A 14061-nucleotide genomic window follows, 5' to 3' on the forward strand; every position below is an offset into this window, starting at 1 on the left:
TCTGGCCAGGGCAATCAGGCAGGAGAAGGAAATAAAGGGTATTCAATTAGGAAAAGAGGAAGTCAAATTGTCCCTGTTTGCAGACGACATGATTGTTTATCTAGAAAACCCCATCATCTCAGCCCAAAATCTCCTTAAGCTGATAAGCAACTTCAGCAAAGTCTCAGGATACAAAATCAATGTACAAAAATCACAAGCATTCTCATACACCAACAACAGACAAACAGAGAGCCAAATCATGAGTGAACTCCCATTCACAATTGCTTCAAAGAGAATAAAATACCTAGGAATCCAACTTACAAGGGATGTGAAGGACCTCTTCAAGGAGAACTATAAACCACTGCTCAAGGAAATAAAAGAGGACACAAACAAATGGAAGAACATTCCATGCTCATGGGTAGGAAGAATCAATATCGTGAAAATGGCCATACTGCCCAAGGTAATTTACAGATTCAATGCCATCCCCATCAAGCTACCAATGACTTTCTTCACAGAATTGGAAAAAACTACTTTAAAGTTCATATGGAACCAAAAAAGAGCCCTCATCGCCAAGTCAATCCTAAGCCAAAAGAACAAAGCTGGAGGCATCACACTACCTGACTTCAAACTATACTACAAGGCTACAGTAACCAAAACAGCATGGTACTGGTACCAAAACAGAGATATAGATCAATGGAACAGAACAGAGCCCTCAGAAATAATGCCACATATCTACAACTATCTGATCTTTGACAAACCTGAGAAAAACAAGCAATGGGGAAAGGATTCCCTATTTAATAAATGGTGCTGGGAAAACTGGCTAGCCATATGTAGAAAGCTGAAACTGGATCCCTTCTTTACACCTTATACAAAAATCAATTCAAGATGGATTCAAGATTTAAACGTTAGACCTAAAACCATAAAAACCCTAGAAGAAAACCTAGGCATTACCATCCAGGACAAAGGCGTGGGCAAGGACTTCATGTCCAAAACACCAAAAGCAATGGCAACAAAAGCCAAAATTGACAAATGGGATCTAATTAAACTAAAGAGCTTCTGCACAGCAAAAGAAACTACCAGCAGAGTGAACAGGCAACCTACAACATGGGAGAAAATTTTCGCAACCTACTCATCTGACAAAGGGCTAATATCCAGAATCTACAATGAACTCAAACAAATTTACAAGAAAAAAACAAACAACCCCATCAAAAAGTGGGCGAAGGACATGAACAGACACTTCTCAAAAGAAGACATTTATGCTGCCAAAAAACACATGAAGAAATGCTCATCATCACTGGCCATCAGAGAAATGCAAATCAAAACCACTATGAGATATCATCTCACACCAGTTAGAATGGCAATCATTAAAAAGTCAGGAAACAACAGGTGCTGGAGAGGATGTGGAGAAATAGGAACACTTTTACACTGTTGGTGGGACTGTAAACTAGTTCAACCATTGTGGAAGTCAGTGTGGCGATTCCTCAGGGATCTAGAACTAGAAATACCATTTGACCCAGCCATCCCATTACTGGGTATATACCCAAAGGACTATAAATCATGCTGCTATAAAGACACATGCACACGTATGTTTATTGCGGCACTATTCACAATAGCAAAGACTTGGAACCAACCCAAATGTCCAACAATGATAGACTGGATTAAGAAAATGTGGCACATATACACCATGGAATACTATGCAGCCATAAAAAATGATGAGTTCATGTCCTTTGTAGGGACATGGATGAAATTGGAAACCATCATTCTCAGTAAACTATCGCAAGAACAAAAAACCAAACACCGCATATTCTCACTCATAGGTGGGAATTGAACAATGAGATCACTTGGACACAGGAAGGGGAATATCACACTCTGGGGACTGTGGTGGGGTCGGGGGAGGGGGGAGGGATAGCATTGGGAGATATACCTAATGCTAGATGACGAGTTAGTGGGTGCAGCGCACCAGCATGGCACATGTATACATATGTAACTAACCTGCACAATGTGCACATGTACCCTAAAACTTAGAGTATAATTAAAAAAAAAAAAAAAAAAAAGAAAATCACTTAAGCACTATTAAAACTTCGTTTACCTTCTCACTTAGAACTGTAGTATAGAATACATTATCGCTTCCTGGGATAACAGGCAGCTTGACCCCAAGACACAGATCCAAAAGATGATATGCTCTGACCTCTGGAATGGGGTTTTCCTGCGAGCTCTGTCAGATGCAATTGGAAGTTTGTATTTTCTTCTGTATATTGGTGCAAAAGTAATTGAAAGTAATGGCAAAACCGCAATTACTTTTGCACCAACCTAATAGAAATTATTCATTTAGTTTAGACCAAACGTATTATTACTTCCTATTAAATAGGCTAATACCTCCAAATAAACCAAAGAACCATGCATTCGGGGTTGAAGGAACCCGCCAGGCCGGCTGACAACTTGGATGTCCTCGTTTTTCTGGGTTACCAGTTCTACCTCTCGACCCCTGCCAGTGGTGGCCAGTGGCCGCCAAAGCCACCGGCTGCCCAGAGCTAAGGGGCTGAAAGCTGAGCAGTCAAGAACCCGCCTCGTTCCCTCCCACTCGCGGAGATCTCCCTACTCGGTCTGTCCGCCTTCCGGAGACCCTCATTTGGGGCCACGAGTAGGAAGACGGACCGGCCTCCACTCACGGTGCGGCACTGCTTCTTGCCTGCATTCAGGCTGCTGGCGGCCGCCTTAGTGGCGGCGGCTTCGGCAGCCTTATAGCAGTTGCCGAGGTACAGCTCCAGAGCCAGCCTTCAGTCCCCAGGGGGCCAGACGCTGGGGTAGCAGGCGGTCCTCGTTTCTCCTCATTCACACCCTTCACGCTTTAGGTCCTGATCAGGTGTGGGCTGCCAAGATCGTGGTGGCCAGAGTAGAACGTCCTCTAGGCCACGCCCCTCACAATGCTGCCTTCTAGGCTGGAGAGCTGACGTCCTCAAGGGGCGTCACCCTCGGAGGTGGGGTGGGCAGCGGGTGAGTGGGGAGTGGTGACCGCTAAGCCTCACCAGACGCACAGGCACACGAGACTTCAGCCCCTTAGAGTCGAAATTTAATATCTCTTTGAAACCAATACCCCTCATTTAAACTAAACCAAAATATATCAAGCTTTGTCCATGGTAGCTGTGATCGTACTGATTTCTGTTCAACAAACTTCGATGAGTAATTGTGTAGTTTTTATTAGGGCCATAGGACTGACTTTTACATCTATCTCCTTTATAGACACTGTGACCCTCCTTCCCCTAGGCATACCACCCCCAGTCCCATGTAGAACACTTGGTTTCTTCAAGGGCTCAATACATTTCTCCTTGTCTTTCTCTTCTCTGTCTTGGGCTCATTATCTCTCTCGCCCTCCTCTTCCTCTTTCTCTCTTTCTTCTACTTATTTGTTTCTACCTTCTCATTCAGTCAGCCAACATTTATTGAGTGCCCACTCTATGCCAGACTCTGCTGGTTCCTGACAGTGAGTACACTGATAAAACAGTGAGTAAAACATAGTGTCTGCTGCCAAGAAGCTCAGTAGAATGAAAATATATGAAGGACTGAGACTGTACCTAGTTCATGCTCTGTCTCCACGTTATCTATCATCTATCTATCTATCTATCTATCTATCTATCTATCTATCTATCTATCTATGTATCTATCTATCTATCATCTATCTATCTATGACACATTATAGTTAAACTTCTGAAAACTAATGACAAAGACAAAAATTCTTGAAAGCAGTCAGAGATAAAAGAAACATTATTTACAGGAGAACACCAATTTGAATGTGAATTTGAAACGATGGAGGCCCGAAGGAAGAGGTGCAGCATTTTTTAAGTGCTTTAGCATTTTCTTTTAAGAAACAAATTGTCAACTGTGAATTCTATACCTAATGAAAATATCTTTCATCAATGAAGAAGAAATAGAGACATTCTGAGATGAAGGAAAACTAAAAATGTGTTGCTAACAAACCTATCTTAAGGAATGGCTAAAAGAAGTTATCTACGCAGAAAGGAAATGATAACAGAAGTAGGCTTAGAACTTCAGAAGGGAAAAAAAACCCATAAGAATGGATAAAAATAGGGATAAATATAATAGACTATTCTATTTTTCTTGAGTTTCTTAAATCATATTTGATGGTTGAAGCAAAAAGTATAAGAGCATCTGATGTGGTGGTGAATACATGTAAAGGAAATATTTAAGACAATTATATTTTATTTTTCCCTTTCAAATTGTATTTTAGGTTTGGGGGCATATGTGTAGGTTTGTTACATGTGCAAATTGTGCATTGATGGGGTTTGGTGTGCAAATAATTTTGTTACCCAGGTAGAGAGCATAGTACATGATAGGTAGTTTTTTGACCCTAACCTTCCTCTCATTCTCCACCCTCAAGTAGGCCTCAGTATCTATTTTTTCCCTCTTCTAAAACAATTACATTTTAGAAGTGGGAAGTGCAAAGGGACATAAATGGAAATAAGGCTTCTACACTTTATTCAAAGTGGTAAAATATTAATACCAGTAGGTTGTGGTAAACTATATATATATTTTGTAATTCCTAGAGCAACTATTAAGAAAACTATACGAAGTGATATATTCAAAACATTATAAATAAATCAAGATAAACTTCTAACAATGTTCAAGTAGCCCACAGGAAGGCAAGAAAAGGGAAATAGAGGAATGAGAAACAGGGGAAATAACAGAAAACAAATAAAATGGCAGATTTAAGCTCTAACATACCAGTAATTACTTCTCTAAGCGTAAATGGTCTAAACTCAGTAATGAAAACAGATTGGCAGAACCAATTAAAAAATACATGATCCAACTACATGCTATCTACAAATACTATACACTGCAAATACAATGATACATGTAAGTAGGCTGAAAATAAAAGGATGGGAAAAGATACTCAAAGCACATTTGCATTTGCAAAAGTAGGAGTGGCCATAATAATATCAGATAAAGTAGACTTTAATTGCTAGAGACAAAGAGAAACATTACTTAATGAAACAAAGATCGGCTGGGTGCGGTGGCTCATGCCTGTAATCCCAGCACTTTGGGAGGCTGAGGCGGGCGAATCACAAGGTCAGGAGATCGATATCATCCTGGCTAACATGGTGAAACTCCGTCTCTACTAAAAAATACAAAAAATTAGCCGGGCCTGGTGGTGGGCACCTGTAGTCCCAGCTACTCAGGAGGCTGAGGCAGGAGAATGGCGTGAACCTGGGAGGCGGAGCTTGCAGTGAGCCGAGATCGCGCCACTGCACTCCAGCCTGGGTGACCCAGCAAGACTCCGTCTCAAAAAAAAAAAAAAAAAAGAAAGAAAGAAAGAAAGAAAGAAAGATCAAACCACCAATCCACCAGGAAATCAATGGACATGCACCAAATAATAGAGACTCAAAATACATGAAGCAAAAAAACAATAGAGATAACAAAAGAAATAGACAAAGTCACAATTATAATGTGGGACTTCCTAAATGCCTATCAACAGGAGACTGGACAAATAAAGTTTATGCTTCGCTCATGCCCATATAGCAGTTTAAGTTGAAAGACTTGGAGCTACGTATATTAACAACATGTATTTCAAATCATAATCTTGAGCAAAACCTACCAAGAGTTGATATAACTGTGGAATGACCTAACTTATTTGAATCATGTTAATGGATAATTATTTATGTAGTAGTAGCATAAAATCCTGCATGAAAAAGAGGAAAATAAATACAGTATAGTAGTATCTCTAGGGAGAAAGGGAGGCAAATGAAATTATGAAGGGATATGAAGGACGCTTTCACTTCATCTTTCATATTGTATTTCTTAAAACCAAGTCTGGCTCTTCTTTTATCTCTTCCTGTTTCCTGTTCTTTTCTTTCCCTTCTCATTACTTCTAGAACAATTCAAGAGGTGGGTTGGAGCAAGATAGGTGTCCAAATAGAGGTGTAGCTCTAGATGTTGGTGCTTAACTGGGGTAAGGAGGGGAACCACAGATGAAGGCAGCCTGAAGTGGAGGCAGAGCCTGAAGAAAGTGAAAAAGTTGTTCCTTGTGGGGGTTGGTTTGGTGTAAAGAATCAGAAGCCAGGAGGAGAAAGGAAGCCATCCATGTTTAAGGGGAGCTAAGTGAGGGATGTCAGAGCCCAAGCAGATCAATGAAGGTGTTTACATCAAAGATGGTCTGGCATGGGATTCAGAGCATGAGTAGAGTGAGGGGGCTATCAATGTATGGGACAGCATAGGATGTCAGAGTCTGTGCTAGTTACCCAGGGCTGCCATGACAAAGTACCGCAAACTGGGTAGCTTAAAACAACAGAAATGTACTGTCTCACTGTCTTGGAGGCTAGATGTCTTAAACAAGAGTGGGCAGAACCTTGCTTTTTCTCTGAAACCTGTAGGGGAGTCCTTCTTTGCCTCTTCGTAGTTTCTGGTGGTTTGCCAGCAATCTTTGGTATTCCTTGGCTTGCAATTGCATAACCCCAATCTCTGCCTTCATTGTCAGATGGAATTCTTCTGGTGTGTCTTGGTCTTCTCCTGGCTGCCGGCTTAAAAAGACACAAGTTATATTGAATCAGGGACCCATCTTGGTCCAGTATGACCTCATTTTAACTTAACTAATTACATTTGCAATGACCTTATTTTTAAATGAGATGACATTCTGAGATACTGGGGGTGCGAACTTCAACATTTCCTTTTCTGGAGGGCACAGCTCAACACATCACAATCTGTTCTTTGCCCCGCCTCCCCAAATTAATGTTCTTCCCACCTGCAAAATACATTCACCCCATTTTAATACTCACAAAAGTCTTAACGCATTCCAGCATCAACGTTATGTTCAAAATCTCATCTAATTCAGGGATGGGTAAAGTTTGGGCCATGGTCCATCCTGAGGTAAAATTCCCCTCCAGCTGTAAATCTGTAAAACCCAGAAAACAAGTTATCTGCTTTCAAAATACAATGGTGGGACAGGCATAGGATAAACATTTCCATTCCAAAATGGAGACTGGGCTAGGCATGGTGGCTCATGCCTGTAAACCCAGCACTTTGGGAGGCTGAGGCAGGTGGATCAAGTGGAACTCCTGAGGTCTGGTGTTCGAGACCAGCCTGGCCAACATGGTGAAACCCCGTCACTACTAAAAATACAAAAATTAGGCACGCATGGTGGCGGGCGCTTGTAGTCCCAGCTACTCAGGAGGCTGAGACAGGAGAATCACTTGAACCTGGGAGGCAGAGGTTGCAGTGAGCTAAGATCACGTCACTGCACTCCATCCTGGGCAACAGAGTGAGACTCGATCTCGGAAAAAAAAAAAGAGACTGGACGGTAAAAAGGTCTAAGGCAGTTTGCAACACAGCAGGTAAAATTCCATTAGGTTTTAAGGCTTCAGAATAATTTTCTGTGGCTTTGTCCAATGGACTCACCTCTTCATCCTTAGGTGGCTGCCCCAATGTCTGTAAAGAAGAGGCTACCTTGCCCCTGGTTCCTCATCCTTATATGGCAATCCTGTCCCCTGAACCCTGGGTAGAGGTCCCGCCCACTCAGGCCTTGGCAGTCACCTGGTTCTCTGGAACCCAGGAGATGTCTCTGCCCTCTGGAAATGAGGAGGCAAACTGACGCTCTCATCCCAGAGCAGTGGTCCCACCCTTTGAAGAAAGAGGGGGATGCTACCCTATGGAACTCAGGGGCCCACCTTACCATCTATAACCAAAGATTCCGCTTATCCCATTGGTCCTGGCTGGTGACCCTGACCCCTCAAACCTGGGCAGGAGCCCCATCTTCTGCAAACATAGAAGATAGCCTTATCCTCTGGAAATGAGAAGGCAGCCTGGTCCACAGGGTCCTGGTTGGTGGCCCTGTCCCCTCATTCCTGAGTGGTGGTGACTCAGGCCCCTGGGTCTGAGGCAGTGGCTCCACACTCTGGAACCCTGGAGGTGGCTCTGCCCCTCAGAATTGGATAGCAGCCCCGCCCTCTCAGCCCTGGGCAGTGGCCCTGCTGGGCAGGAACCCTGGAGGTAGCTCCACTTCCTGGATCCTGGGCAGTGGACCTGCCATCTGTAAACCCAGAGATGGCTCTGTACCTTCAGCCTTGGAAGGCAGCCCTGCCGTCTCAGCCCTGGGCAGTAGCCCCGCACTCAGGAACCTTGCAGGTGGCTCCACCCCCTCAGCCTTGGATGGCAGCCCCACCCTCTGGAGTCTTAAAGGTGGCTCTGCCCTTTCAGCCCTTGGCAGTGGCCTAATTCTCAGGATCCTTGGAGGTGGTTCTGCCCATCAGCCCTGGGAAATAGCTCCGCTCCATCAGTCTTGGATGGAAACCCGGCTCTCTCAGCTATGGGCAGCAGCCCGACCAGCTGGAATCCTGGGGATGACCTCACTCCCTCAGCCTTGGATGGCAGCCCCACCCCTTCAGCCCAGGGCAATAGCCCTGCCCCCAAGAATTCTGGAGGTGGTTCTGCCCCCTCAGGCATAGGAAGTGGCTCTGTCCCCTGGAGCCTTGGAGGTGGCTCTGCCCTCTCTGCCTTGGATGGAAACCCGCCCTCTCAGGCCTGGCAGTGGCCTCACCCCCTCAGCCCTGGATGGCAGCACCACCGTCTCAGCCCTGGGCAGTGGCCTCGCCTATTGGAATCATAGAGGTGGCTCCTACCCCTCAGGACTGTGCCGCGGCTCTATCCTCTGGTACTCTGGTAGTGACCTCACCCCCTCAGGCTTGGATGGCAGCCCCATCCTCTCAGTTTTCAGCAGGGGCCATGGACTCTAGAATCCTGGTGGTGACTCCACTCCCTCAGCTTTGGATGGCAGCACCAATCCCTCAGCCCTGGGCAGTGGGCCCACCGTCTGGAACCCTGATGACAATATCAGTTCCGCAGCCATGGGTGGCAGCCCCACCCTCTCAGAACTAGGCAGTGGTCCCGCCATCTGGAACCATGGTGATGACCCCACCCCCTCAGCCGTGGGTGGCAACACAGCCCCCTCAGCCCTGGGAAGTGGTCCCACCTTCTGGAATCTTGGTGATGACCCAACCCCCTCAGCCTTGGGTGGGAGCACCGCCCTCTCAGCCCTGGGCAGTGTCCCACAGTCTGGAACCCTGGTGATGACCCCACCCCCTCAGCCTTGGGTGGCAGCACCACCCCCACAGCCTTGGGAAGTGGTCCCACCATCTGGAAACCTGGTGATGACCACACCCCCTCAGCCTTGGGTGGCAGCACCACCCCCACAGCCTGGGAAGTGGTCCCACCATCTGGAAACGTGGTGATGACCACACCCACTCAGCCTTGGGTGGCAGCAGTGCCCCCTCAGCAGTGGGCAGTGGTCCCGCTATCTGGAACCCTGTTGATGACCCCACTCCCTCAGCCTTGGGTGGCAGAACCGCCCCCTCAGCCCTGGCCAGTGGGACCACCCTCTGGAATCCTGTTGATGACCCCACCCCCTCAGCCTTGGGTGGCAGCACAGCCCCCTCAGCCCTGGACAGTGGTCCCACCATCTGGAATCCTGGTGATAAACCCACCTCCTCAGCCATGGGGGGCAAAACCGCCCCCTCAGCCCTGGCCAATGTTCCCACTATCTGGAACCCTTTTGATGACCCTATCCCCTCAGCCTTGGGTGGCAGCACCACCCCCTCAGCCCTGGGCAGTGGTCCCACCCTCTGGAACCCTGGTGATGACCACACCCCCTCAGCCTTGGGTGACAGCACCACCCCTTTAGCCCTAGGCAGTGGACCCGTGCTCTGGAACCCTACTGGTGACCTCCCCTCAGCCTTGGGTGGCAGTTCTGCCTTTGCAGCCTTGGGCAGTGGCCCTGTGCTCTAGAACTCTAGTGATGACCTCACCCCCTCAACCTTGGATGGCAACACTGCCCTGGGCAGTGGGCCTACCATCTGGAACCCTGCTGGTGACCTCACCCCTTCAGCCTTGGATGGCAGCACTGCCCTTTCAGCCCTGGGCAGTGGGCCCACCATCTGGAGCCCTGGTGGTGATCTCATTGCAGCAGCTGTGGGTGGCCACATCACCCTCTCAGCCTTGGGCAGTGGCCCTGTGCTCTAGAATCCTGGTGATGACCTTGCCCCCTCAGCCTTGGATGGCAGCCCTGCACTCTCAGCCCTGGTTAGTGCCTCCACCCTTGGCAACCCTGGAGGTGACCCTATTCCCTTACCCTTGGATGGCAGTCCCACCCTCTCAGCCCTGCCAGCAAACTTACTCTCTAGAACCCTACTGGTGATTCTCTCTTTCAGCCTTGGATGGCAACACCCCCCACCCCCGCTTCTCAGCCCTGGGCAGCAGCACCACCTCTGGAATCTTGGTAGTGTCTCCACCCACTGGAACCCTGCCATTATCCCGACACCCTCAGGACTAGGCAGTGGTCCTGGGATCCCTGGTGGTAGACCTGTCCCCTTTGGCCCTGGGGAGAGGTCCCACCCCCTCAGGCCTGGGCAGTGGCCCTGTTCTCTAGAATATAGCAGGTCCAAATGGCTCAGTTATCTGCATGTATCGCTTTCCCAGTCATTCTTCCTTCATTTTGTCCTTTTCAGTTTCTTTTAGTCCAGGCTGGTTGTGTTTCTGAGGTATAAAATTCTAAAAAAATTTTGTTGGCTTCCCCTGCAATTCATGGAGGTCCAAGCCAACAGAAAAGAGGGTACTTTATAGATCTTTACTGTATAACTGCATCTCAATTCCTGGCTTCTGCTAGATGGTTGATTGGATCCATAAGTCACAATTATGGATATCTGTAAGTCATAATATCTTTATCAATGGTTGTTCTGCCATACTTTTAGTCTTCTCTCCAGAACACAGCTTGTTTCTTTCTTTCTTTATTTAGAGATGGTGTCTTGCTCTGTCACCCAGGCTGGAGTGTGGTGGCATTATCATGGCTTCCTGCAGCCTTGACCTCCCTGGACTTAGATAATCCTCCTACCTCAGCCTCCTGAGTAGCTGGGACTACAGGCACACACCACCATACCTGGCTAGTTTTTGTATTTTCTTGTAGAGATAGGGTTTTGCCATGTTACTCAGGCTGGTCTTAAACTCCTGCACTCAAGTGATCTGCCCACTTTGGCCTCCCAAAGTACTAGGATTACAGGTGTGAGCCACCATGCCCAGCCAGAACACAGGTTATTTACTTTTTTGCAATATGGTTAGGTTGAGAATATTACAAATCTTCAAGTTCTGGTTCCTTTATGCTTAACAATTTGCTCCTTAATTTATCTATTTCCTTTCTCATCTTACTCTAAGAATCAAGGCAGAAACAGGATGCATGTTACACACTTTCCTTGGAAATTTCCTTCTTTAAATAAACAAGCTCATCTCTTACAAGTTCTACTTCCTTCCCAACAGTAGAAGACAATTCAGCCGAATCCTTTGACATTTTATAATGAAGATCACCTTTCTTCCAATGCCCAATACCAGGAAGCTCACCAAAAGTACCTTTAACATTTACATTTCAAGCAATGTTCACTTTAAGGCAATCTAGGCTGCTTCTGTAATGAGCCTCAAAATGTTTCCAGCCTCTGCCCATTACCCAATTACAAAGCTAGTTTCATAATTGTAGGTATTTGTTACAGCAAGGATCCCATTTCCCAATACCAAAATCTCTATTAGTTTTCTAGGGCTGCCAAAATAAACTACCACAAACTGGGTGCTTAAAACAATAGAAATTTATTGTCTCACAGTTCTGGAGGGTAGAAATCTAAAATCAAGGTGTTGATAGTGTGGAGTCCTAACTAGGGAAAAAATAGTTGGGATGGTGGGACTGAGAGAAAAAAAAAGAAAAGTTATGTCTGCCTTTTTTTTCTTTTTGTTTCTTTTTTCTTTTTTTTTTTTTTGAGATGGAGTCTTGTTCTCTTGTCCAGGCTGGCATGATCTCGACTCACTGCAACCTCTGCCTTCCGGGTTCAAGCAATTCTCCTGTCTCAACCTCCCAAGTAGCTGTGACTACAGGTGCATGTCACCACGCCCAGCTGATTTTTGTATTTTAGTAGAGATGGGATTTCACCATATTGATCAGGCTGGTCTCGAACTCCTCACCTCAGGTTATCCACTTGCCTCGGCCTCCCAAAGTACTGGGATTACAGACATGAGCCACCGCACCCAGGCTATGTCCGCCTTTCTTCATAGTCCAGGACACACAGCCCGCTTGCACAAATAACTCACAATCTTCCTGTGTCCAGCTATTACCAGACCCCCAGGTAACAGAAAAATGCAAGTTAGTTTCCAGTACTGATAACCTTGGCATTATCAGTACTGCACAAAGCCCTCATCAGGACACAGCACAAGTATCATACTATAAAATCCCCAGCAAGCCTTTGTCTATGGCAGTCAGCTCCTCTCTTGCTAACTTGCCCATTGCAGTCTTGCATTGTGTTTTTGTACTTTAGTAAGTCATCTTTTCTTTACTTACAACTATCTTGGTTAATTCTTATCTGCATGCCACCGGCCCCAGATAGTCGCTGCTCACCTGCAACATTTTGGTGGCCTGTACAGGAACTCCTCTCTCTGTGCAGGAGCTTTCTCTCTCCTTACAGGGAACCCTCTCCCCTCTCAATTTTTCTTTCCCAACTCGGGACCCTTGGTGGACAGCATCTAAGCGTGGAGACAACTGTAGGTCTCTGGCTGGGGCTACACTCCAGCGGGACTGAAAGGTGTCTGTGTGGGAAGCATCTGAGCGCCATGCTCATTTGGGTGAGTGAGGGACCTGAGTTAGTTTTCTCTGTTCAGTGTCGCAGCAGCCAGCTTCTAGTATCCCTCTGGCAATTGATGGTAACTGGCTAGGGCCACTCTCCAGTGTTGCCTGAAGGCCAGAGAGTGAACAGGGCTGGCTGCCTTGCCTGGAAGGAAGACTGTCTCTCTTACCTTTTTTAGTCTAAAGTCCCTAATTCCTGTGTGTGACTTAGCTGACAGCAGAAGTTCATTCAGAGTGAATTCACACATGTTTTGGGTGACTCAGACCATGTTTCTTACTCTGAATTCTCTGGTGGAGTCAGCCAGCCATCCTGTTCTGAACGTTGCTCAACCAGGTGATCTCCGCCTCAGAGAGGCGAGTCTCCCTTACCTGCCCCTCTCCTGGGCCAGCACCAAATGGAGTTCTTCCTTTACCCTTTTTCCTCGTACCTGGGCTGCTCACCCAGCGTAAGTGAGTACCTGGACTGGCCATCCAGTGTAAGACCCCCGAGTGGCTGAGAGGTCTTTTGTAATAGCTGGGACGCCCCTTTAGAAAGTGCACCTGAGTCCCTCAGCAGACATGAGTGGGACCTTTTTTTTATCTTGGCGGGATGCCCCAAGAGAAAGCGTGGTTCAATTAGCCCCAAATGGCTCATTTTCCAGTCCCACTATGGGACAAACTCCGTCAATTCCTTCAGACTCACCTCTAGGCTGCATTCTAAAACATTGGGATAAATTTCACCCTCAAACTCTCAAAAAGAAACATCTAATTTTTTCGTGTGATACAGCATGGCCCCTATGCAAGAAATTCTCAAATTAGCCTCCTCAGTATTTTATAACCAAGAACAGCAGAAGGACAGGTCTAAGGAGAGAGAAAAATGCAGGGACAAAAAGGCTGCTTTACAAGCCCCAGCCCCCTCCAGGTTGTCCTAAGGACACTCCTCCAGATAACTGCCATCAGTGCAGAAGGCCAGGCCACTAAAAGGCAAAGTGCCCCAATGGGATAAATGGGAAAACCCCTGCATGGCTTGTCCCCTCTGCCACAAACTCGGCCAGTAGAAACAGGACTGCCCTGAGAACCAAAGCCTCCCCTGCCCCCCAGGACAGTATCCCAACCCCTGATGGCTTTAAGCTGAAGGGGCTCTCTGCTCCAGCTGAAAATAGCTCAACTTAACTGGTGACTTGCAGAGGTGGGAGGAATTTGTCCTACACTGTGTAAATCTGGGGTGCTAAGGCTCTCCTTGATGGGAAATAAACAAGGGTGGGAGGGGTGCTGGCCTCACACCATACAGTGGCTGGAAGGCTCACAAGTCCTTCTGTAAAGATTAACCTTTCTCTTTCCATTCCTTTCATTTTTTCTCTTTTTCTGTTCAATCCAAATGTCCAGCCTCAAAAGGAAAAGGCAGTTTCTAACATCCTAACCCTTGATTTTGTTATTCTCTTAAAAACC

General features: G+C 46.7%; 1 long non-coding RNA gene across 1 annotated transcript; it reads right to left on the minus strand.

Moving 5' to 3' along the window:
• Positions 1–5921: 5921 nt before the first annotated feature.
• LOC105373336 (uncharacterized) lies at positions 5922–8720 on the minus strand. Its single transcript, XR_938584.2, has 3 exons — positions 8606–8720; positions 6767–6882; positions 5922–6511 (listed from the first exon to the last, which is right to left on the minus strand). It is a non-coding gene; the product is annotated as an uncharacterized LOC105373336 (long non-coding RNA).
• Between the last annotated feature and the right edge of the window lie 5341 nt (positions 8721–14061).

This window comes from Homo sapiens, chromosome X (assembly GCF_000001405.40).
Source record: "Homo sapiens chromosome X, GRCh38.p14 Primary Assembly".
In the NCBI taxonomy this organism is placed as follows: Eukaryota; Metazoa; Chordata; class Mammalia; order Primates; family Hominidae; genus Homo; species Homo sapiens.